Below are 26,774 nucleotides of genomic sequence, written 5' to 3' on the forward strand. Positions count from 1 at the left end.
CTATAAGTTATAATTTTCCTTAAATACGTAGTTTTAAAAGAATTACCATATGCTAAACTATGATCTTTATTATATCATTGGACTAAAAATTTTCCCAGCTGAGCACAGATCTCTCAATTGTATGATGGAAGTTTATGAGATAAATGTCTTTTTCCCAGCAATTCTTTTTAAGAGCAAGTTTTCCTGGAGCATAGCATTTTTTACTAAGTGAAAGATACCTATAGCCAATTCAATGTAGGAAAAAAAAAAGTGGAGACTACCATTCCTTCTTAAAGTGTGGTATCCACAAAGAAAATAAATCAAACACCTTCATATATAAGTTGTAAACTAATATCCACAGGAGCTGTCTCATACACAGTTATTCTCTCAGTATCATATCTTATGAATTGTTAATCCCTTTTAGACTCTTGGTATCGGAAAGTTCCCTTGTAGTCTGACTCATTCGTATTTTCCTATTGACAAGTGCACCACTGGGATTTGACAGGAAGATTAACTTTGTTACTGATAGTATTCTACTGTAATAAGTTTTTTGTAACAATTTTTAAAATGCAATAAATATTAACTGAAACCTGAAATTGAATTTTGACATGATTAATAATGTGAAAATGGATATATTTCTAAAATACTATTCACTTAAAGCCATTGTACAGTATTATTATCACTATAACCTTTCACAGCCTTGAATTACATAGCTCCTCATTATGCTCACTTTCTGTACCTCACTTCTACTTTTCCTAACTACTGTGTATATTGATTTGTTCTCACTGTCACTCTTCAGCTGCTTCTTTGGCCTTTAAATTAGTTTCACAAAAGATATCTATCTTTTTATAAAGTTATTTAGGAAAGATTTTCTGTGATTGTCTAAAAAGCCAAACCCATATTGGATAAACTGCATTTAAAACTGGGTGATTTGACTGGAAGTGGTATTCAGAGGAAGAATTGTCCAGGTTCTTTTAAAATACTGTGACTAAATCAGGCAATTTTTGAGTCACTAGGTTTTTATTTCAAAAATAATTTATTTTCTTTACCCTAGGAGGTAAAAGGTCAGAAGGGGTTGGGTCCTTCTGGAATAAAAGTAGGGATCCTTTCATTTGGATTGTTTCAGATTTCCTCATTGCGTGTTTACCATCTAAACTTTATGTAGTTATACTTATGAACTTTTTCATTTTAGAATAAAGAGGAATAACTTCTCTGTTCTTCCAGGCTGTCTTATTACTACTGCTTTGTATTTATGTAGCATCTTTCATCAGATGAATTCAAATAGTTATTTTTTATATTATGTGACATTTCTTACCATCTTTTTGGAATTAATTTTTCTTTCAAATTGAATACTAGTTGACATATGGGGGTGTGACATAAGTAATAAGTTTCATTCCACAGGTCATATATAAGCCAGTCTCATTACTTTTAAGTTGCTCCTTGCCCTTTTCAGGGCTGGGTATATATTATATACTAATATATGTAATGATTCTTGCTGAGTTTAATCTTTAAATGTGCACATAGATCCTTATATTCTGTTTCTCTTCCTGCATACTTTTAGGACTATCATTAACTGTTTTTTTTTTTTTTGCTTATTATCAATAGATTTAATCTTGGATTACATAGTTGTTGCTGCCAAATTTGTTCAGATACCTGTGAGTCTGTAGAAACAAGGAAAAAAAATAGGGGTATGAGAAAAATGAGTCTTAGATTTTATATGTTTCAAATTTTTCTTAATTTGCAGTAATTTAGGGAGAAGAAGTCTAAAATGAGTGAAGTTTTGAATTTTAGATTTTTTTTATGAACTGCAGTTTTTACGGTTTTCTTGTACATGTATTAATCAGGATTAGGACAAGATCCCTTAGGGATCTTGATTTAATAAATATATGAGAATGATTTATCATTAGTGAGTCAATGGATTATATGTAAAGAGATATTTCTAAAGTCCTTAAAGTTGCTTGGAAGCATTGTTTAGTTCTTTTGTTTTGTTTTGGGAGGGGGGAGTTGAGACAGTGTGTCACTCTGTTCCCCAGGCTGGAGTGCAGTGCCATGATCTCGGCTCACTGCAACTTCTGCCTCCCTGGCTCAAGCGATCCTCCCACCTCAGCCTCCTGAGCAGCTGGAACTACAGGTGTGCGCCACCACGCCCAGCTCTATTTTCAGTAGAGACCGGGTTTCACCATGTTGCCTAGGCCAGTTTTGAACTCCTGAGCTCAAGTGATCCGCCCACCTCGGCCTCCAAAAGTGCTGGGATTACAGGCGTGAGCCATCGTGCCCAGCCACATTTGTTCTTTTCAGTAGTTTTAATATCCTTTCTACTATCTTGTTTTTAAATTTGTTCAGCAAACTCTTTATTCAAAAATAACCCTAAAGTCACTTTAATTTCAGCTTCTTTCTGAATTATTACAAATTCTGAATCAGTGGGGTCCAAATTACAGTACAACAAAATTTCATTAATTCAGGCCCCACTAACCAAGGACTTGTTATAGGCTAGATATATATAGTAGTCGTGCTAAAAATGAATTACACTCTACAGGAGAAGCAGCCAGAGTCCTACCAGAGGTTAGGCAGCATTGGAGCTTTTTTACTGGGTATCTGCATATGATACTGAATTAAAATAAGTTATAAGAAGGGAGGAACATCTAGGTTTTGTGTATTTAAAAAATCTTCTAAGTGCTCTATTACTAATCAGAGCCATTAACTGTATTGGGCTGTTTACAAGAAAAAGGATTTGAACGTCACTTAGTGTAAGCAAAATTGAGGTAGGTTATGGTAAACTGCTTTCAGATGTTTTAAAAACTGTAGTAGCAATGTTATCTGCATGTAAATTCTGTGCACTTACAAACTCTTCCTATCAATTAATCAGAGTAAGAAAGTAAAGTGTGCATTAAAAGTTACACTTAGTAGTCTTTGTATGTTGATGGTGTTGCTGCAGCTCTAAAAGTAGTAAAACTTCAGGACCTTCTTCTTCCCCAGTTCTGAAATAATAATCATATAATGAGTGCATGCATATTGGTACTGATTTGTTCTATTTTTGTTACGATGCAAGAAGCACTAAAATCCAGCATTTCTGATGTTCTGAGATGAAATTCTTCTGACAATAAACTGGAACTTCCAGTCTGGCTAACTTATTAAAGTTACAAGGTTAACTTGTTAAAGACTTGAACTAGGGTGAAGCTGTCCATAGAGCACAACTACACCTAATACTAGAGTTGCTAGAGGCATGTTATTTACTACTTACACTCTTTTAAGAAGGGAAAAAAAGCTAGTTCTTTGCTTCATGCCTATCACAGTAATGATAATTTGCCTCTATTGTGTAACTCATTGCTCTTTACTTACAGATTTTAGATCTTAAGAGTAAGGGAAGGAATAGTACACAGGTTATTGGATTGACTAGAATAAAAACTTAGCTGTTTGGAAAACTAATTATAATTTTCTCCGTCTCCCACTCCCTTTTCCATTCCTATGACATGTGTGAAAAAACTTGGCACTTTGTGTATTTATGGATGAGAGGAAGAGAGACTGAGTATTCATGTAACAGTTTTCTCACAGCTGAACACTGAATGCAGAATAGGAATTAGTGAAATCTATTTGATTCTTAGTAATCTGTGCTAACAGGGGAGTATAAGCTTAGAAAAAAATAAAAACTTTTGATTTTGAAAGATAATTTTATATTTACATTTGAATACAAATGTTTCTAATCTAGATAGCCCTGAAACTCAGTTAACTAAAGGCTATGGAATACAATAACTTGGCTCCTGAATTTTCTAATTACTAAGGATTAATTTAAGTATGTAATGAAACTGAAGCAGAAATGCTTTGTGTAAGATGTCCAAAATTTTAGGTTGTACTTTACACATAATTTGTTTGTGAACCACTGACCCAGTTGTGTGTGTCTTGATTAAGGATTTTTGGTTGTACATAATAAAGGTGTACTTCAAACTAGCTTAAAGAAAAAAAGAGTTTATTTTAAGTATAAGAGGAAAAAGAAAGTGCAGAAAGTGTAGTCTAGGTGCATGAGAGACTTCAACTAGGTTGACCAGCTGTCCATAGCTAAGGGAATTTTCCTCCCTCTTTCTCTTCTCCTTCAACACCCCTGGGGCTATAGGGTCTTCTGTTTATCTTTGTTTCTTTCAGTGTATCTACTTCATTATTCTCACTTAATCAGCACACAGCCAAACCTGGTTTATTCAAGAGATCCCAAGTTTACATATTCTAAATTCAGGCAATCAGAAGAGACTCAATATCTACGAATTCCAATTCTCAATTCTGATTGACATAGGTTGGGCTATATGTCCAGCCAGGATCTGATTATCCATGGCTAGAGGGGCAAGATCATGTCATATAAATATGGTTATTAGGCCCCAACCCTAAGTGAAGGGACATACAATTCCCAGAGAAGGGAAGATTGTGGGCTAAACAGAATCTCAAGTAGTGTCTACCACGAAGTATAAACTGTGGTGCATGGAATAAACTATATGAAGACACATGTATGTTTCTTAAAAAAAAGCAAAGTAGAGCACATTTGCCATATGTTTATCTTCATTCATAGAACAATAATGAACATTAGAGATCATATTATCTACCCTCCTCATTTTAAGGAGAAGCAAATTGAGACCCAGAGATAATTTATAAAAATATGAAAACATCTAAGGTTTTTATATATAAATTTCTATATATAATTATATAAGTTAATACAAAATATTAATAGAAAAGCTGTGACTATAATCTGAACCTTGTGGTTTCTAGTTTTTCCTAGATACTAGCATCCCATTAACCAGAGTATCTGATAAAATGTTAACACACTTTAAAAGAAGTCTCATAAAATATGCAGCAATGTTTGATAGATATTTTTGTCTAAGCAAGTAAATAAAGAGGTAAAGCAAAACAATTTCCCCATGTCAATACAGTGAAACCGAAATAATATCAGAAGCCCATAGGTAATATCTGATTTTTTCAAAAATAAAATCTTAAAAGACATAAGAAAAGAAAATATTTGAAGAACAAATAATTAATTTGATTATATAATATAAAGTTGCTACACTTAAAGAAGCAATGATATAAATATGATATCTTGGCTACCAGGAAACCTAGATTGTAATCAAATCAGTTTTTTCCTTTTGATCTATACATTCATTCAACATTTATTGAGCGTTGCTACATGCACAGCCCTGTTTTAGGCACTAGGGATACAGTGGTAAACAGAACAAAGACCCTACACTCATGAAGTTTGCAATCTAGAGGATGTTACAGACAGTGAATAAGCAAATAATACGTAATATATACCATCAGATAATGATAAGAGCTATAAGGCTGATAAAACAAGATAAGGGAATAAGGAGCAATAGATGATGCTATTCTAGATACAGTGGTCAAGAAAGGGTATCTGATGGGGTGACATTAAGCAAAGACCTGAATGAAGCAAGGGCGTAGGACATGTGAATATCTGGAGGAAGAACATTTCAGGCAGAAAGAATAGAATATGCAATGGCCCTGAGGTGGGAGCCTGCTTGGTATGTTCAATGAATATCAAGGAGGTTAATGTATCCAGAATGTAGAGAGTGAGTGAGACAGTGGGAGAAAATAAGGCCAGAGATGTATTCAGAGGCCAAAACATATAGACTTTTGTAGGACAAAATAGGAATTTGGGATTTTATTCTATATGATGGGAAGGCATTGAAAAATTGAGAGAGGGTGATTTGATTTGATTTATATGTAAAGAGAGAATATTGACTTGATTTGATTTATATGTAAAGAGAATATTCTGGCTTCCACATGGAAAGAGCAAGAGAATAAGCAGGGAGACCAATTAAAGAGGATGTTACAGTAACCCAGGCGAGAGAAAATGGTTGGATTAGGGTAGTAGTACTGGGGAAAGTGAAAATTAGTCAGATTATGAAGATATAGACACACACACACAGAAATACATATGTACAGTCACACCTCAGATATTGCAGGTTCAGTTTCAGATGACCACAATAAAGTGAGTATCACAATAAAGCAAGTCATACACATTTTCAGTTTCCTAGTACATATAAAAGTTATATTTATGGCCAGGAGTGGTGGCTCACACCTGTAATTCCAGCACTTTGGGAGGCTGAGGTGGGAGGATTGCTTGAGCTCAGGAGTTTGATACCAGGGTGGGCAACATAGCAAGACCTCATCCCTACTTAAAAAAAAAAAAAAGTTATGTTTATACTATACATCAGTCTCTGAAGTGTACAATAGCACTATGTCTAAAAAATCTTAATTCTTTTAATTAAGAAATACTTTATTACTAAATAAAATGCCAAGAATCACTTGAGCTGTCGGTGAGTTGTAATCCTTTTGCTGGTGGAGGATTTTTCCTTGATGTAGATAGCTGCTGACTGATCAGGGTGGTGGTTCTTGAAGGTGGGAGTGGCTACATCATTTTCTTAAAATAAGACAAAAAAGGAAGTTTGTTGCATCAATAGACTTTTTCTTTCACAAGAGGTTTATCTGTAGCATGTGATGCTGCTTGACAACATTTTACCCACTGTAGAACTTCTTTCAAAATTAGAGTCGGTCCTATCAAATCCTGCTGCTACTTTATCAAAAACGTTTATGTAATATTCTTAATTCTTTGTAGTTGCTTCCATAGTGTTCCTAGCATTTTCTCCAGCAGTAGATTCCATCTCAAGGAACCACTTTTTTTGCTCATTCATAAGAAGCAACTCCTCATCCATTATTGTTTTAGCATGAGATTGAAGCAATTCAATTACACCTTCTGTCTCCCCTTCTGATTCTAATTCTTCTGCTATTTCTACCAAATCTAGTTACTTATTCTGGTGTAGTCTTGGACCTGTCAAAATAATCCATGGGGATTGGATCCACTTCTTTCAAATTCCTGTTAATGTTGACATTTTGAACTCCTTCCATGAAGCAAAATGTTCTTAATGGCATTTAGAATGATGTATTGTTTCCAGATTTTCAAGATCCAGCAGAGGAATCATTGTCTCTGGCAGCCGTAGATTCATGAAATGTATTTCTTAAATAGTAAAACTTGAAAATCCAAATTACTCCTTGATTCATGGACCGCAGAAGGGATGTTATGTTATCAAGCGTGAAAACAACATTAATCTCTTTGTACACATCCATCAGAGCTCTTGGGTGACTAGGTGTATTTTCAATGAGCAGTAATATGTTAAGAGGAATATTTTCTTGGGAGCAGTAGGTCTCAACAGTGGGCTTAAAATATTCAGTAAACCATGCTATAAACAGATGTGCTGTCCTCCAGGCTTTATTGTTCCATTTATAAAGCACAGACAGAGTAGATTTAACATAATTATTATGGGCCCTAGGATTTTTGGAATGGCAAATGAGCATTAGCTTCAATTTAAAATCACCATCTACATTAGCCCATAACAGGAGATTCAGCCTGTCCTTTGAAGCTTTGAAGCCAGACATTGACTTCTCTCTAACTGTGAAAGTCCTAGATGGCATCTTCTTCCGATAGAAGGCTGTTTTATCTACATTGTAAGTCTGTTGTTTAATGTAGCTACTTTCATCCATTATCTTAATTAGATCTTCTGGATAACTTGCTGCAGCTTCTTCAGCACCACTTGATGCCTCACCTTGCACTTTTATATTATGGTTGCAGCTTCTTGCCTCAAACCTCATGAATCAATTTCTGCTAGCTTCCAACTTTTTTTCTGCAGCTTCTTCACCTCCCTCAGCCTTCATAGAATTAAAAAGAGTTAGGGCCTTCCTCTGTATTAAGCTTTGGTTCAAGGAAATGTGGATGGTTTGGTTTTTCATCTGGACCGCTAAAACTGTCTTAACAGCCATAGGCTGTTTTGCTGTTTTATTATTCATGTGTCCAGTGAGCAGCATTTTAATTTCCTTTAAGAACTTTTCCTTTACATTCACAGTCTGGCTAGCTGTTTGGCACAAGAGACCTAGTTTTTGGCCTATCTTGGCTTTTGATATGCCTTCTTCACTAAGCATAATGATTTCTGGCCTTTGATTTAAAGTGAGGGATGTGCTACTCTTCCTTTCACTTGAACACTTAAAAGGCCATTGTAGGGTTATTAATTATCATGATTTCAATATTGTTATGTCTCACAGGATAGGGATGCCCGAGGGGAGGGAGAGAGATGTGGGAATGGCCAGTTTAGCAATCAGAACATGTACATATTTATTGATTATGTTTGCCATCTTCTATGGGGACTTGTTTGTGGTGCCCCCAAACAATTACAATAGTAACATCAGAAATCACTGATCACAGATCACCATAACAGATATAATTATAATGAAAAAGTTTGAAATATTATGAGAGTTAACAAAATGTAAGAGAGACATGAAGTGAGCACATGCTTTTGTAAAAATTGTGCCAATAGATTTGCTCAATGCAGGGTTGCCACAAAACTTCAGTTTGGAAACAAAAAACAAAAAACACAGTATCTGCAAATCGTGATAAAATGAGGTACCCCTGCATATTATTTTTGAAATGAAGATTCATAGAAAGTTGCAATAAATGTACAGGGAGATCCTGTTCATAGCTCACCTAGCCCACTTCATTATGTTGCATAACTACAGTATGATACAGAAACCAGGAAACTAATGTTTATCTAATTCAGTTTTCCTTACTTTTGTAAGCACTCTGTGTATGTGTGTGTGTGTGTATAGCTCTACTCATTTTCTCACATGTATAGTTTCTAACAATTGTCACCACTCCAAAGGCTCTTTCAGGCTAACACTTTATAAAGACACACTCACCTCCTTTTCCTTCTCAAACATCTGATCTCTAATTTGTTCTGTCTTTCTCTGTAATTCTGCTATTTCATGAATATTATATAATGTCCCTCTTTCTTCCTAGTAATTTTCTTTGCTCTGAAGTCTCCTTTATCTGATATTAGTATATGTACTGGTATTTTCAAAAAATTCATATTTCAATGATATATATTTTTCCATCCATTTTCTTTCAGCCTACCCATGTAGGTGTATTTAAAGTGAATTTCTTGTAGACTGCATATAGTTGGGCTAAGTTTTTTTTTTAAAAGAAAAACTACTCTGCCAGTCTCTATCTTTTAATTGGTATATTTAGACTAGTTTATATTAAAATAATTATTCATATGTTGGGGCTAAGTCTTTAATTTTTAAAATTGTGGTAAGAAATAACATGGTATCTACCCTCTTAAGAAAATTTTGAGTGTACAGTACAGTATTATAAATTATATGCACATTAATGTCCAGAAGATATCTAAAACTTTGTATCTTGCATGATTAAAACTCTATACTCATTGAACAGCATCTCCACATTTCCCCGTTTCCCTGGGTTCTATCAATTTGATTACTTTTATGTACCTCCTATAACTGAAATAATGTAGTATTTGTCCTTCTGTGACTAGTTTATTTCATTTAGCATAAAGTCCTCAGGATTCTCATGTTGTATGCCTGGATTGTATGACTGGATATGACAGGATTTTCTTCTTTTTAGAAGCTGAATAATATTCTATTATGCACATATGCCACATTTTCTGTATCTATTCATCCATTGATGGACATTTAGGTTGTTTACACGTCCTGGCTATTGTAAATAATGCTACAATGAAGATAGGAGTGCAAATATCTCTTCTAGATACTGTTTTCAATTCTTTTGGATAAATACTTAGCAGTGGGGTTACAAGATCATATGGTAGTTATATTTTTAATTTTCTGAGGAACCTCCATACTGTTTTCCAAAGTGGCTACACCATTATATAGTCCCAACAACAGTGCACAAGAGTTCCAATTTTTCAATAACACTTGTTATTTCCTTTTTAAAGTAAATTTTATTATACATAAGTGAGGTATACATATATAATGATGTTATGAGGTACACATATATAGTAAAAATATTACTATAGTGAAACAAATCAACATATTGGGTCATCTCATATAGTTACCTGTTTTCCCTCCTGTGGCATGAGCAGCTGTAATCTGTTCATTTGGCAAAAATCATGAATACAGTGCACTACTATTACCTATAGATATCATGTTTGTAAGACCTAATGTACGACACTAGTTACTTTCTGGTTTTTGTTTTGTTTTGTTTTAATCATGGCCATTTTAATAGGCATGAGGTGATCACTCATTTTGGTTTTGATTTGTATTTCTCTGATGATTAGTGATGTTGAGCATCTTTTCATATACTTCTTAGCCATTTGCATGTCTTCTTTGGAGAAATATCTATTCAAGTCCTTTTCTCATATTATAATCAGTTCATTTTTTCTATTGAGTTGTACAAGTTCCTTTTATAGTTTGGATATTAACTCCTTATCAGTTGTGTAGGTTTTCAAATATTTTCTCCCATTCCGTGGGTTTCCTTTAACTCTGTTGATGTGTTCCTTTGCTATGCAGAAGGTTTTTAGTTTGATTTGGTCTCACTTGTCTATTTTTCCTTTTGTTGCCTGTGCTTTTGGTGTCTTATCCAAAAAATCATTCCCAAGACTGATGTTATGAAGCTATTTCCTTATGTTTTCTTCTAGGAGTTTTATAGTTTCAGGTATTACAGTTAAGTCTTTAATCCATATTGAGTTGATTTTTGTATATTGTATAAGATAAGGGTCCAATTTCATTCTTTTGCATGTAGATATCCAGTTTTTCCGGCACCATCTGTTAAAGAGATTATCATTTTCCTATTATGTAGTCTTGGCACCATTGTTGAATATCATTTGACTGCATGTGTGTGCGTTTGTTTTTGGGCTCACTATTCTTTTCGAAATTGGTATATGATTGCCTTTATGTCAGTTTCATACTGTTTTGATTACTGTAGCTTTGTAATATGTTTTAAAATCTTGGAGTGTGAGGTCTCCAACTTTGTTGCTCTTTCTCAATATTGTTTTGGCTATTGGGAGTCCTTTGTGGATCTATGTGAATTTTAGGATTGTTTTCTATTTTTGTAAAAAATGCCATTGGGATTTTGATGGGGATCACATTGAATCTGTAGATAGCTTTGGATAACATGGACATTTTAACATTATTAAGTCTTCCAATCCATTAATACAGATGTATTCCAACTTACTTGTGTCTTCTTTAGTTTCTTCCAACAATGTTTTGTAGTTTTGTAGATGTAAACTTAGGTTGTTAATTGAGATCTTTCTTTCTTTTAATGTATGTTTTTATCTCTATAAAATTCCCTATTAGTACTGCTTTTGCTGCATCTCATAAGTTTGGGTATGTTATGTTTTCATTTTTGTTGGTCTGAAGATATTTTGAAATTTTTATTAAGATTTCCTGTTTGACCTATTGGTTATTCAAAAGTGTGTTTTTTAATGTACATATTTTGAATTTTCCAACTTTCTTTAAGCTATTATAAAAGCTCTTTGTCACCTTGGTTAAGTTTATTTCTAAGTATTATATTCTTTTGATGCCATTGAAAATACAATTGTCCTGATTTTTTTGGATTGTTAATACCTAGTCTATGGAAGTGCAACTGCTTTTTATTTGTGATTTTGTGTTCTTCAACTTTATTGAATTTGTTTATTCTAACAGGTATTTTTGTGGAGTCTTTAGGATTTTTTATATATGAGATCACTTCATCTGCTAAAAGAGATAATTTTTCTACTTTCTTTTCTATTGGATGTTTTCATTTTTTTTTCTTAGCTAATTGCTCTGGAGAGGATTTCCAATGCTATGTTGAATAGAAGTGGTGACAACAGGCATCCTTGCCTTGTTCCTGATCTTAAAGGAAAAGCTTTCAGTTTTTTATCATGAAGTATGATGTTAGGTGTGGACTCTTCATATATGATTTTGTTGACCATATATGGTTTTGTTGAAAATTGTTGAGGCAATTTTCTTTTGTTCTTAGTTTGTTGAGAGTTTGTCACAAAAGGGTGTTGAATTTTGTCAAAAAATATTTCTGTGTCTATTGAGATGACCATGGAATTTTTATTCTTCACTTTCTTAATGTGATGTATCATATTAAGTGATTTTTTATATGGTTAGCCATCCTGGATTCACAAGGATAAATCTCACTTGGCCATGATTTATAATCCTTTTTAATATGCTGTTGAATTTGACTTGCTAGTATTTTGTTGAAGATTTTTGCATCTATGCTTATCAAATATATTGGCTTATTGATTTCTTTTCTTCTTGTGTCTTTGTCTGGATTTGTTAAAAGGGTAATGCTGTCTTCATAAAAGGAGTTTAGAAGTATGCCTTCCCCTTCAATTTTTTTGGAAGACTTTAAGAAGGATTATTTGTAGGGGGGTTATTAACTGATTTAATCTTCTTACTAGTTACAAGTATGTTCAGATTTTCTCTTTCTTCATGATTCAGCGTTGGTAGGTTATAGAGTTCCAGGAATTTATCCATTTCTTTCAGGTTATTGAATTTATGGACAAATAGTTGGTTATATTGATTTCTTTTAATCCTGTTAATTTCTGTGGCATCAGTTTTTATGTTTCCTCTTTCATTTCTGATTGTTTTGAGTCTTCTCTTTTCTTATGCTAGCTAAAGATTTGTCAATATTTTTTATCTTTTCAAAAAAGCGCTTTTAATTTTATTGATCTTTTCTATGTTTTTTTCTTCTCTGTGTATTTCTGCTCTGGTTTTTATCATTCCTTTCCTTCTGCTCACTTTAGTCTCAGTTTGCTCTTCTTTTTCTAGTGCCTTCAGATGTAAAGTTAAGTTGTTAATTGAGATCTTTCTTTCTTTTTTAGGTGGAAGAAATATGGATATGCTGTATTCTGTTTGAAAGGATTCATCATGAACCAGAAAAAAATCAATGAAAAGGGGCATTTCACCTAGATTAAATTTTGCAATTTTTAAAAAGCATATGAACAAAGAAACTATCCTCCAAACATCCAAATAAGGAAGAATACTTTACCTAACAATAGGAACAAATTAAAAATAATTGATTCAGCCTAAGACTTTTTTTTCAGCGAAGAAGTAGTTTAATAATTGCAGGGCCAGCCAAATAAGGAGAAAGGGAAAAAACTTCTCAAACCCATCTCTCTGAGAATTTGGAGGCTAGGTTTTTTTAAGGACACTTTGGCAGGCAGGGGATAGGAAACTTTTAAGAAATGATTGACTGGGGATGAAATCACAGGGGTACCTAAAACTGTCTCGGCTTAGCTGAGTCAGTTCCTGGGAGGGGGCTGTCTTGGGACCAGGTGGCATCTCTTGGTCAGCTCTTGGTCTGCTTATAAATCTGAAAAATATCTCAAAGACCAGTTTTTTTAAGTTTCATAATAGTGATGTTATCTATAGGAGTAGTTGGAGAAGTGTAAAACTTGTGACCCCCAGTTACATGACTCGGCAGCTGTAAGCAACTTATAGAAAAACACATAAAGCAATGGCAGGTAATTGTTTAATTATGTCTATTGTTTAGCAAAGTTCATGGCCCCACCATAATTCTTTTTCTAATTATTATTTTTTAAAATGTTTGTGGGTACATAGTAGATATTTATATATTTGGGATACATGATATGTTTTGATACGGACATCCAATGTGAAAAATCACATCATGGAGAATAGGGTATATATCCACTCAAGAATTTATTCTTTGAGTTATAAGCAATACAATTCCACTCTTTAAGCTATTTTAAGATGTACAATTAAGTTATTATTGATTATAGTCACCCTATTGTGCTATCAAATAGTAGGTCTTCTTCGTTCTTTTTATTTTTTTTTGTACCCATTAAACATACCCACCTCCCCCCAGAACCCTACTTCCCAGCCTCCATTGTTTTGATTATCAGATCCCACAAATAAGTGAAAAAATGTTATGTTTGTCTTTCTGTGCCTGGCTTATTTATCTTAACATAATGATCTCCAGTTCCATCTATGTCACTGCAGATGACTGAATTTCATTCTTTTTTGTGGTTGAGTAGTATTCCATTGTGTATATATGCCCCATTTTCTTTATCCATTCATCTGTTGATGGACAAATAGGGTGCTCTCAAATCTTAGCTATTGTTAACAGTGCTGCAACCACCATAGATGTTCAGATATCTCTTTGACATACCGATTTCATTTCTTTTCTGTATATACTCAACAATAGAATTGCTGTTGTATTCACTATCTCAATTTTTAGTTTTTTAAGGAACCTCCACATTATTCTCCATAGTAGTTGTCAATTTACTTTTTTACCATCAGTATATAAGGGTTCACTTTTCTCTACATCCTCACCAGCATTTGTTATTGCCTGTCTTTTGAATATAAGCCATTTTAACTGGAGTAAGATAATATTTCCTTATAGATTTGATTTGCATTTCTCTGATGATCAATGACATTGAGATCCTTTTCACCATTTAGAAGTATTCCCTCCTGCTCTATTGTTCACATGCCTGTTTGCCATTTGTGTGTCTTTTTTTTTAATTATACTTTAAGTTTTAGGGTACATGTGTACAACCTGCAGGTTTGTTACGTATGTATACATGTGCCATGTTGGTGTGCTGCACCCATTAACTCGCTATTTACATTAGGTATATCTCCTAATGCTATCCGTCCCCACTCCCCCCACCCCGCAACAGGCCCCAGGGTGTGATGTTCCCCTTCCCATGTCCATGTGTTCTCATTGTTCAATTCCCACCTATGAGTGAGAACATGCGGTGTTTGGTTTTTTTTCCTTGCGATAGTTTGCTGAGAATGATGGTTTCCAGCTTCATCCATGTCCCTACAAAGGACATGAACTCATCACTTTTTAAGGCTGCATAGTATTCCATGGTGTATATGTGCCACATTTTCTTAATCCAATCTATCATTGTTGGACATTTGGGTTAGTTCCAAGTCTTTGCTATTGTGAATAGTGCCACAATAAACATACATGTGCATGTGTCTTTATAGCAGCATGATTTATACTCCTCTGGGTATATACCCAGTAATGGGATGGCTGGGTCAAATGGTATTTCTAGTTCTAGATCCCTGAGGAATCGCCACACTGACTTCCACAATGGTTGAACTAGTTTACAGTCCCACCAACAGTGTAAAAGTGTTCCTGTTTCTCCACATCCCCTCCAGCACCTGTTGTTTCCTGACTTTTTAATGATCACCATTCTAACTGGTGTGAGATGGCATCTCATTGTGATTTTGATTTGCATTTCTCTGATGGCCAGTGATGATGAGCATTTTTTCATGTGTCTTTTGGCTGCATAAATGTCTTCTTTTGAGAAGTGTCTGTTCATATCCTTCACCCACTTTTTGATGGGGTTGTTTGCTTTTTTCTTGTAAATTTATTTGAGTTCATTGTAGATTCTGAATATTAGCCCTTTGTCAGATGAGTAGATTGCAAAAATTTTCTCCCATTCTGTAGGTTGCCTGTTCACTCTGATGGTAATTTCTTTTGCTGTGCAGAAGCTCTTTAGTTTAATTAGATCCCATTTGTCAATTTTGGCTTTTGTTGCCATTGCTTTTGGTGTTTTAGACATGAAGTCCTTGCCCATGCCTATGTCCTGAATGGTATTGCCTAGGTTTTCTTCTAGAGTTTTTATGGTTTTAGGTCTAACATTCAGGTCTTTAATCCATCTTGAATTAATTTTTGTATAAGGTGTAAGGAAGGGATCCAGTTTCAGCTTTCTACATATGGCTAGCCAGTTTTCCCAGCACCATTTATTAAATAGGGAATCCTTTCCCCATTTCTTGTTTTTGTCAGGTTTGTCAAAGATCAGATAGTTGTAGATATGTGGCATTATTTCTGAGGGCTCTGTTCTGTTCCATTGGTCTATATCTCTGTTTTGGTTACTGTAGCCTTGTAGTGTAGTTTGAAGTCAGGTAGTGTGATGCCTCCAGCTTTGTTCTTTTGGCTTAGGGTTGAATTGGCAATGCGGGCTCTTTTTTGGTTCTATATGAACTTTAAATTAGTTTATTCCAATTCTGTGAAGAAAGTCATTGGTAGCTTGATGGGGGTGGCGTTGAATCTGTAAATTACCTTGGGCAGTATGGCCATTTTTACGATATTGATTCTTGCTATCCATGAGCATGGAATGTTCTTCCATTTTTTTGTATCCTCTTTTATTTCATTGAGCAGTGGTTAGTAGTTCTCCTTGAAGAAGTCCTTCACATCCCTTGTAAGTTGGATTCCTAGGTATTTTATTCTCTTTGAAGCAATTGTGAGTGGGAGTTCACTCATGATTTGGCTCTCTGTTTGTCTGTTATTGATGTATAAGAATGTTTGTGATTTTTGCACATTGATTTTGTATCCTGAGACTGCTGAAGTTGCTTATCAGCTTAAGGAGATTTTGGGCTGAGACGATGGGGTTTTCTAGATAAACAATCATGTCATCTGCAAACAGGGACAATTTAACTTCCTCTTTTCCTAATTGAATACCCTTTATTTCCTTCTCCTGCCTGATTGCGCTGGCCAGAACTTCCAACACTATGTTGAATAGGAGTGGTGAGAGAGGGCATCCCTGTCTTGTGCCAGTTTTCAAAGGGAATGCTTCCAATTTTTGCCCATTCAGTATGATATTGGCTGTGGGTTTGTCATAAATAGCTCTTATTATTTTGAGATATGTCCCATCAATACCAAATTTATTGAGAGTTTTTAGCATAAAGGGCTGTTGAATTTTGTCAAAGGCCTTTTCTGCATCTATCGAGATAATCATGTGGTTTTTGTCATTGGTTCTGTTTATATGCTGGATTACGTTTACTGATTTGCATATGTTGAACCAGCCTTGCATCCCAGGGATGAAGCCCACTTGATCATGGTGGATAAGCTTTTTCATGTGTTGCTGGATTCGGTTTGCCAGTATTTTATTGAAGATTTTTGCATGGATGTTCATCAAGAATATTGGTCTAAAATTCTCTTTGTTTTGTTTTGTCTCTGCCAGGCTTTGGTATCAGGATGATACTGGCCTCATAAAATGAGTTAGGGAAGATTTCCTCTTTTTCTATTGATTGGAATAGTTTCAGAGGGAATGGTACCAGTTCCTCCTTGTACCTCTGGTAGAATTCAGCTTTGAATTCTTCTGGTCCTGGTCTTTTTTTGGTTGGTATGCTATTAATTATTGCCTCACTTTCAGAGCCTGTTATTGGTCTATTCAGAGATTCAAATTCTTCCTGGTTTAGTCTTGGGAGCATGTATGTTTCCAGGAATTCATTCATTTCTTCTAGATTTTCTAGCTTATTTGCATAGAGGTGTTCATAGTATTCTCTGATGGTAGTTTGTATTTCTGTGGGATCAGTGGTGATATCCCCTTTATCATTTTTTATTGCATGTGTTTGATTCTACTCTCTTTTCTTCTTTTTTAGTCTTGCTAGCAGTCTATCAATTTTGTTGATCTTTTCAAAAAACCAGCTCCTGGATTCATTGATTTTTTTGAAGGTTTTTTCTGTGTCTGTATCTCCTACATTTCTACTCTGATCTTAATTCTTTCTTGCCTTCTGCTAGCTTTTGAACGTGTTTGCTCTTGCTTCTCTAGTTCTTTTAATTGTGATGTTAGGGTGTCAATTTTAGATCTTTCCTGCTTTTTCTTGTGGGCATTTAGTGGTATAAGTTTCCCTCTACACACTGTTTTAAATGTGTCCCAGAGATTCTGGTATGTTGTGTCTTTGTTCTCGTTGGTTTCAAAGAACATCTTTATTTCTGCCTTCATTTCCTTATGTACCCAGTAGTCATTCAGGAGCAGGTTGTTCAGTTTCCATGTAGTTGAGCGGTTTTGAGTGAGTTTCTTAATCCTGAGTTCTAGTTTGATTGCACTGTGGTCTCAGAGACAGTTTGTTATAATTTCTGTTTTTTTACATTTGCTGAGGAATGCTTTACTTCCAACTATGTGGTCAATTTTGGAATAAGTGCAGTGTGGTGCTGAGAAGAATGTATATTCTGTTGATTTGGGGTGGAGAGTTCTGTAGATGTCTATTAGGTCCTCTTGGTGCAGAGCTGAGTTCATTTCCCGGATATCGTTGTTAACTTTCTGTCTCATTGATCTGTCTCATGTTGACAGTGGGGTGTTAAAATCTCCCATTATTATTGTGTGGGAGTCTAAATCTCTTTCTAGGTGTCTAAGGACTTGCTTTATGAATCTGGGTGCTCCTGTATTGGGTGCATATATATTTAGGATAGTTAGCTCTTCTGGTTGAATTGATCCCTTTACTATTATGTAATGGCCTTGTCTCTTTTGATCTGTGTTGGTTTAAAGTCTGTTTTATCAGAGACTAGGATTTCAACCCTTGCCTTTTTTTGTTTTCCATTTGCTTAGTAGACCTTCCTCCATCCCTTTATTTTGAGCCTATGTGTGTCTCTGCATGTGAGATGGGTCTCCTGAATACAGCACAGTGATAGGTCTGGACTCTTTATCCAATTTGCCAGTCTGTGTCTTTTAATTGGAGCATTTAGCCCATTTACATTTAAGGTTAATATTGTTATGTGTGAATTTGATCTTGTCACGATATTAGCTGGTTATTTTGTTCATTAGTTGATGCAGTTTCTTCCTAGCCTTGATGGTCTTTACAATTTGGCATGTTTTTGCAGTGGCTGGTACCGGTTGTTCCTTTCTATGTTTAGTGCTTCCTTCAGGAGCTCTTTTAGGGCAGGCCTGGTGGTGACAAAATCTCTCAGCATTTGCTTGTCTGTAAAGGATTTTATTTCTCCTTCACTTATGAAGCTTAGTTTGGCTGGATATGAAATTCTGGGTTGAAAATTCTTTTCTTAAAAATGTTGAATATTGGCCCCCACTCTCTTCTGGCTTGTAGAGTTTCTGCTGAGAGATCTGCTGTTAGTCTGATGGGCTTCCCTTTGTGGGTAACCCGACCTTTCTCTCTGGCTGCCCTTAACATTTTTACCTTCATTTCAACTTTGGTGAATCTGACAATTATCTGTCTTGGAGTTGCTCTTCTCGAGGAGTATCTTCGTGGCATTCTCTGTATTTCCTGAATTTGAATGTTGGCCTGCCTTGCTAGATTGGGGAAGTTCTCCTGGATAATATCCTGCAGAGTGTTTTCCAACTTGGTTCTATTCTCCCCGTCACTTTCAGGTACACCAATCAGATGTAGATTTGGTCTTTTCATATAGTCCCATATTTCTTGGAGGCTTTGTTCATTTGTTTTTATTCTTTTTTCTCTAAACTTCCCTTCTCGCTTCATTTCATTCATTTGATCTTCCATCACTGATACCCTTTCTTCCAGTTGATCGAATTGGCTACTGAAGCTTGTGTGTTCATTTCCTAGCTGTCGTGCCATGGTTTTCAGCTCCTTCTGGTCATTTAACGACATCTCTACACTGATTATTCTGGTTAGCCATTCGTCCAATATTTTTTCAAGGTTTTTAGCTTCTTTGCGATGTGTTCGAACTTCCTCCTTTAGCTCGGAGAAGTTTGATCGTCTAAAGCTTTCTTCTCTCAACTCCTCAGAGGCATTCTCTGTCCAGTTTTTTCCATTGCTAGTGAGGAGCTGCATTCCTTTGGAGGGGGAGAGGTGCTGTGATTTTTAGAATTTTCACCTTTTCTGCTCTGTTTTTTTCCCGTCTTTGTGGTTTTATCTACCTTTGGTCTTTGATGATGGTGACATACAGATGGGGTTTTGGTGTGGATGTCCTTTCTGTTTGTTTTCCTTCTTACAGTCAGGACCCTCAGCTGCAGGTGTGTTAGAGTGCTGGAGATCCACTCCAGACCGTGTTTGCCTGGGTATCAGCAGCAGAGGCTATAAAACAGCGAATATTGCTGAACAGCAAATGTTGCTGCCTGATAGTTCCTCTGGAAGTTTTGTCTCAGAGGGGTAACCAGCCATGTGAGGTGTCAGTCTGCCTGTACTCGGGGGTGCCTCCCAGTTAGGCTACTTGTGAGTTAGGGACCCACTTGAGGAGGCAGTCTGTCTGTTCTCAGATCTGAAACTCCATGCTGGGAGAACCACTACTGTCTTCCAAGCTGTCAGACAGGGACATTTAAGTCTGCAGAGGTTTCTGCTGCCTTTTGTTCGGCTGTGCCCTGCCCACAGAGGTGGAGTCTACAGAGTCAGGCAGACCTCCTTCAGCTGTGGTGGGCTCCACCCAGTTCAAGCTTCCCGGCCACATTGCTTACCTACTCAAGCCTCAGCAGTGGCGGCCGCTCTTCCCCCAGCCTCACTGCCACCTTGCAGTTGGATCTCAGACTGCTGTGCTAGCAATGAGCGAGGCTTCGTGGGCGTGTGACCCTCCGAGCCAGGCGCGGGATATAATCTTCTGGTGTGCCGTTTGCTAAGACCATTGGAAAAGCACAGTATTAGGGTTGGAGTGACCCGATTTTCCAGGTGCCGTCTGTCATTGCTTTGCTTGGCTAGGAAAGGGAATTCCCTGACCCCTTGCATTTCCCGGGTGTGGTGATGCCTTGCCCTGCTTTGGCTCACGCTTGGTGCACTGCACCCACTGTCCTGCACCCACTGTCTGACAAGCCCCAGTGAGATGAACCCAGTACCTCAGTTCACAATGCAGAAATCACCTGTCTTCTGCGTCGCTCACGCTGGGAGCTGTAGACTGGAGCTGTTCCTATTTGGCCATCTTGGAACCACCCCCCCCCCGCCCCAGTTTGTTCATTTTTGCTTTGGCTGCCTGCGCTTGTGCGGTATTGCTCAAAAAATCTTTGCCCAGACCAGTGTCCTGGAGATTTTCCCCAATGTTTTATTGTAGTAGTTTTAAATTTTGAGGTCTTAGATTTAAGTCTTTCATCAATTTCAATTTGATTTTTGTATATGGGAAGAGTAGAGGTCTAGTTTCATTTTTCTGCATATGGATATCCAGTTTTCCCAGCACCGTTTATGGAAGAGACTGTCTTACCCAGTGTAGGTTCTTAGCACCTTTGTTTAAAATGAGTTTAGTATAGGATTGGGGATTTGATTCTGGGTTCTCTATTCTGTTCCATTGGTCTGTGTGTCTGTTTTTATGCCAGTACCATGGTTTTTTGGTTACTATGGCTCTGTAGTATTATATAATTTGAAGTCAGGTAATGTGATTCCTCTAATTTTCTGATTTTTACATAAAATAGCTTTGTGTATTCTGGTTCTTTTTCATTCCATATAAACATTAGGATTGATTTTTCTATTTATGTGAAGAATGTCATTGGTATTTTGATAGGGATTGCATTGAATATGTAGACTACTGTTAGTATGGGCATTTTAACAATATTGATTCTTCTGATCTATAAGTATGGAATATTTTTCCATATTTTGGTGTCCTCTTCAATTTCTTTCATCAGTGTTTTATAGTTTTCATTACAGTGATCTTTCACTTCTTTGGTTAATTCTAGGCATTTAATTTTATGCATGGCTATCGTAAATGGATTACTTTTTCAATTTCTTTTTCAGATTGTTCACTGTTGCCATATACACATGCTACTTAGCATTGTTATGTTGATTTTGTATCCTGCAACTTTGCTGAATTTATCATTTCTAGTAGTTTTCTTGTGGAATTTTAAGGATTTTCAAAATATAAGATCATATCATCTGCAAACAAGGATGATTTAACTTCTTCCATTCTAATTGGGATGCACTGCATATATTTCTCCTGTCTCATTGTTCCAGCTAGGAATTTCAGTATTGTGTTGAATAACAGTGATGGCAGGGTGTATCCCTGTTGTGTTCCAGATCTTAGAGGAAAGGCTTTCAGTGTGAAACTAGCTATAGGTCTGCTGTTTTTGCCTTTAATTATGTTGAGGTTTTATGTTCCTTCTGTCCCCTATTTTTTTAGGGTTTTCAACATGAAACGATGTTGAATTTTATCACATGCTTTTTCCATATCAATTGAAATGGTCATATGATTTTTATGTTTCATTCTGTTGATACGATGTATTGCACTGATTGGTTTGCATATGTTGAACCATCCTTGCGTCACAGGGATAACTCCCACTTGCTCATGATGAATGATCTTTCTAATGTATTGTTGATTTCAGTTTGCTAGTATTTTGTTGAGGATTTTTGCATCAATATTCATCAGATATATTCACCTGTAGTTTTCTTTTTTTGATCTATCTTTGTCTGTCTTTGGCATCAGGGCAATACTGGACTCATAAAGAAGATATTCTCAAAAGAAGACATTTATGCAGCCAACAAACATATGAAGAAAAGCTCATCATCACTGGTTTGGAAGTCTTCGTTTCTCCTCTATTTTTTAGAATAGTTTATGTAGGATTGGTTATTTGTTCTTCTTTCAATGTTTGGTAGAAATCAACAGTGAAGCCATCAGGTCCCAGGAATTTCTTTACTCGTAGACTTGTTACTATAGCTTCATTTTCATTACTTGTTATTGGTCTGTTCAGGTTTTGGATGTCTTCCTGTGTCAATCTTGGTAGGTTGTATATATCTAGGAATTTGTCCATTTACTATAGATTTTCCAATTATTTGGCATATAGTTGCTCTTTGTAGCTACTAATGATCCTTTGAATTTTTGCAATATCAGTTGTAATGTATCCTTTTTCTTTTATGTTTTTTTATTTTTATTCTTATTTTTATTTTTTTATTATACTTTAAGTTCAGGGATACATGTGCAGAACGTGCAGGTTTGTTACGTAGGTATACATGTGCCATGGTGCTTTGCTGCACCCATCAACTCGTCATCTAGGTTTTAAACTCCACATGCATTAGATATTTCTCCTAATGCTATCCCTCCTTTTGTCCAACATCCCCCAACAGGCCCCAGTGTGTGATGTTCCGCTCCCTTTGTTCATGTATTCTCATTGTTCAACTCAAATTTATGAGTGAGAACATGCGGTGTATGGTTTTCTGTTCCTGTGTCAGTTTGCTGAGAATGATGGTTTCCAGTTTCATCCATGTTTCTGCAAAGGACATGAACTCATTCTTTTTTATGACTGCATAGTATTCCATGGTGTGTATGTGCTGCATTTTCTTTATCCAGTCTATCATTGATGGGCATTTGGGTTGATTCCAAGTCTATGCTATTGTAAATGGTGCTGCAATAAACAAACATGTGCATGTGTCTTTATAGTAGAATGACTTGTAATCCTTTCAGTATATACCCAGTAATGGGATTGCTGGATCAAGTGATATTTCTCATTCTAGATCCCTGAGGAATCACCACACTATCTTCCACAATGGTTGAACTAATTTACATTCTCACCAACAGTGTAAAAGCATTCTTATTTCTCCACATCATTTCCAGAATCTGTTGTTTCCTGACTCTTTAATGATCGCCATTCTAACTGGCATGAGATGGTATCTCATTGTGGTTTTGATTTGCATTTCTTTAATGACCAGTGATGATGAGCTTTTCTTCATATGTTTGTTGGCTGCATAAATGTCTTCTTTTGAGAAGTGTCTGTTCATATCCTTTGTCCACTTTTTGATGGGGTTGTTTTTTTCTTGTAAATTTGTTTAAGTTCCTTGTAGATTCTGGATACTAGACTGTTGTCAGATGGATAGATTGCAAAATTTTTCTCCCAATCTGCAGATTGCCTCTTCACTCTGATGATAGTTTCTTTGCTGAGCAGTTCTTTAGTTTAATTAGATCCCATTTGTCAATTTTGGCTTTTGTTGCCATTGCTTTTGGTGTTTTATCCATGAAGCCTTTGCCCATGGCTATGACCTGAATGGTATTGCCTAGGCTTTCTTCTAGGGTTTTTATGGTTTTAGGTCTTACGTTTAAGTCTTTAATCCATCTTGAGGTAATTTTTGTTTAAGGTGTAAGGAAAGGTTCCAGTTTCAGTTTTCTGCATATGGCTAGCCAGTTTTCCCAGCACCATTTATTAAATAGGGAATCTTTTCCCCTTTGCTTGTTTTTGTCAGGTTGGTCAAAGATCAGATGGTTGTAGATGTGTGGTGTTATTTCTGAGACCTCTGTTCTGTAACATTTGTCTATATATATGTTTTGGTACCAGTACCATGCTGTTTTGGTTACTGTAGCCTTGTAGTATAGTTTGAGGTCAAGTAGTATGATACCTCCAGCTTTGTTCTTTTGGCTTAGGATTGTCTTGGCTATACGAGCTCTTTTTTGGATCCATATGAAATTTAAAGTAGTTTTTGTAATTCTGTGAACAAAGTCAATTGTGACTTGATGGGAATAACATTGAATCTATAAATTACTTTGGACTGTGTGGCCATTTTCACGATATTGATTCTTCCTATCCATGAGCATGGAATGTTTTTCCTTTTGTTTGTGTCCGAGGTCTATTTCCTTGAGCAGTAGTTTGTAGTTCTCCTTGAAGAAGTCCTTCATGTCCCTTCTAGGTTGTATTCCTAGGTATTTTATTCTCTTTGTAGCAATTCTGAATGGGAATTCACTTATGGTTTGGCTCTCTGTTTGTCTATTATTGGTGTTTAGAAATGCTTGTGATTTTTGCACTTTGATTTTGTATCCTGAGATTTTGCTGAAGTTGCTTATCAGCTTAAGGTGTTGTTGGACTGAGACCAAGGGGTTTTCTAAATATACAATCATGTCATCTTCAAACAGACACAATCTGACTTTTTTTCTTTGTATTTGAATACCTTTTATTTCTTTCTCTTGCCTGATTGCCCTGGTCAGAACTTCCAATAATATGTTGAATAGGAGTGGTAAGAGAGGGCATCCTTGTCTTGTGCCAGTTTTCAAAGGGAATGCTTCCAGCTTTTGCCCATTCAGTATGATATTGGCTGTGGGTTTGTCATAAATAGCTCTTATTATTTTGAGATACGTTCCATCAGTGCCTAGTTTATTGAGTGTTTTTAGCATGAAGGCCTGTTGAATTTTATTGAAGGCTGTTTGTGCATCTGTTGAGATAATCATGAGGTTTTGTCATTTGTTCTGTTTATGTGATGGATTATGTTTACTGATTTGCATATATTGAACCAGCCTTGCATCCTGGGGATGAAGCCAACTTGATCGTGGTGGATAAGCTTTTTGATGTGCTCCTGGATTCAGTTTGTCAGTATTTTAGTGAGGATTTTCACATCAATGTTCATCAAGGATATTGGCCTGAAATTTTCTTTTTTTGTTTCTCTGCCAGGTTTTGGTATCAGGATGATGTTGGCCTCATACAGTGAGTTAGGGAGGAATCCCTCTTTTTCTATTGTTTTGAGAAGTTTCAGAAGGAATGGCACCAGCTCTTCTTTGTACCTCTGGTAGAAATTGGCTGTGAATCCCTCTGGAGCTTGGCTTTTTTTGGTTGATAAGCTATTAATTACTGCCTCAATTTCAGAACTTGTTATTGTTCTACTCAGGGATTCAACTTCTTCCTGGTTTAGTCTTGGTAGGATGTATGTGTCCAGGAATTTATCCATTTATGCTAGATTTTCTAGTTTATTTGCATAGAGGTGTTTATAGTATTCTCTGATGGTAGATTGTATGTGTGTAGGATCTTTGGTGATATCCCTTTTATCATTTTTATTATGTCTATTTGATTCTTCTTTCTTTTCTTCTTTATTAGTCTGGCTAGCAGTCTATTTTGTTAATCTTTTCAAAAAACCAGCTTCTGGATTTATCGAGTTTTTGAAAGGTTTTTCATGTCTCTATCTCCTTCAGTTCTGCTCTGATCTTAGTTATTTCTTGTCTTCTGCTAGCTTTTGAATTTGTTGCTCTTGCTTCTCTAGTTCTTTTAATTGTGATGTTAGGGTGTTGATTTTAGATCTTTCCCAGTTTCTGATGTGGGTATTTAATGCTATAAGTTTCCCTCTAAACACTTCTTTAGCTGTGTCCCAGAGATTCTGGTATGTTGTGTCTTTGTTCTCATTGTTTTCAAAGTACTTTCTTATTTCTGCCTTAATTTCATTATTTACCCAGTAGTCATTCAGAAGCAGGTTGTTCAGTTTCCATGTAGTTGTGTGGTCTTGCGTGAGTTTCTTAATCTTGAGTTCTAAATTGATTGCACTATGGTCTGAGAGACTTTGTCTTATGTTTTCCATTCTTTTGCATTGCTGAGGAGTGTTTTACTTCCAATCATGTGGTCAGTTTTTGAATAAGTGCTATGAGGAGAATGTATATTCTGTTGAACTGGGGTGGAGAGTCTGTAGATGTCTATTAGGTCCACTTGGTCCAGACCTCAGTTCAAGTCCGAAATCTCCTTGTTAATTTTGTGTCTCGCTGATCTGTCTAATATTGACAGTGCAATGTTAAAGTCTCCCACTATTATTGTTTGGGAGTCTAAGTCTCTTTTTCGTTCTCTTAGAACTTGCTTTATGAATCTCGGTCCTCCTTTATTGGGTGCATATATATTTAGGATAGTTAGCTCTTCTTCTTGTATTGATCCCTTTACCATTACGTGTTGCCTTTCTTTGTCTTTTTTCATCTTTGTTGGTTTAAAGTCTGTTTTACATAGACTAGGATTGCAACTCCTGCTTTTTTTTTCTTTCCGTCTGCTTGGTAAATATTTCTCCATCCCTTTATTTTCAGCCTATGTGTGTCTTTGCACATGAGATGGGTCTCCTGAATACTGCACACTGATGGGTTTTGACTCTTTATCCAGTTTGCCAGTCTGTATCTTTTAATTGGAGCATTTAGCCCATTTACTTTTAAGGTCAATATTGTTTTGTTTGAATTGGATCCTGTCATTATGATGGTAGCTAGTTATTTTACCCATTAATTGATGCAGTTTCTTCATAGTGTTGATAGTCTTTACAATTTGGTATATTTTTGCAGTGACTGGTACCAGTTTTTCCTTTCCATAGTTAGTGCTTCCTTCAGGAGCTCTTGTAAGGCAGGCCTGGTTGTGACAAAATCTCTCAGCATTTGCTTGTCTGGAAATGATTTTATTTCTCTATTGCTTATGAAGCTTTGTTTGGCTGAATATGAAATTCTGGGTTGAAAATTCTTTTCTTCTAGAGTGTTGAATATTGTCTCCCATTCTCTTCTGGCTTGTAGGGTTTCTGCAGAGAGAGCCACTGTTAGTCTGATGGGCTTCCCTTTGTAGGTAACCTGATTTATCTCTCTCTCTGCCCTTAACAATTTTTCCTTTGTTTCA

At 36.0% G+C, this 26,774-nt stretch overlaps 1 protein-coding gene across 14 annotated transcripts in view; it reads left to right on the plus strand.

Moving 5' to 3' along the window:
- ZC3H12B (zinc finger CCCH-type containing 12B) overlaps window positions 1–26,774 on the plus strand; it is a 473,062-nt gene that overhangs the window by 3,992 nt on the left and 442,296 nt on the right. For 4 of the 14 annotated variants that reach the window (XM_017029480.2, XM_017029481.2, XM_017029482.2 and 1 more), the window contains exon 1: window positions 9,776–13,286. The exons of 9 other annotated variants lie outside the window; for them this stretch is intronic. The gene's annotated coding sequence lies outside the window, so the exon portion shown is untranslated. Of the gene's footprint in view, window positions 1–9,775; window positions 13,287–26,774 lie in introns of those variants that run through there. One more of the 14 variants, XM_017029479.2, reaches the window with a different exon arrangement.

The sequence above is a fragment of the Homo sapiens genome, chromosome X (genome assembly GCF_000001405.40).
Source record: "Homo sapiens chromosome X, GRCh38.p14 Primary Assembly".
NCBI lineage: Eukaryota > Metazoa > Chordata > Mammalia > Primates > Hominidae > Homo > Homo sapiens.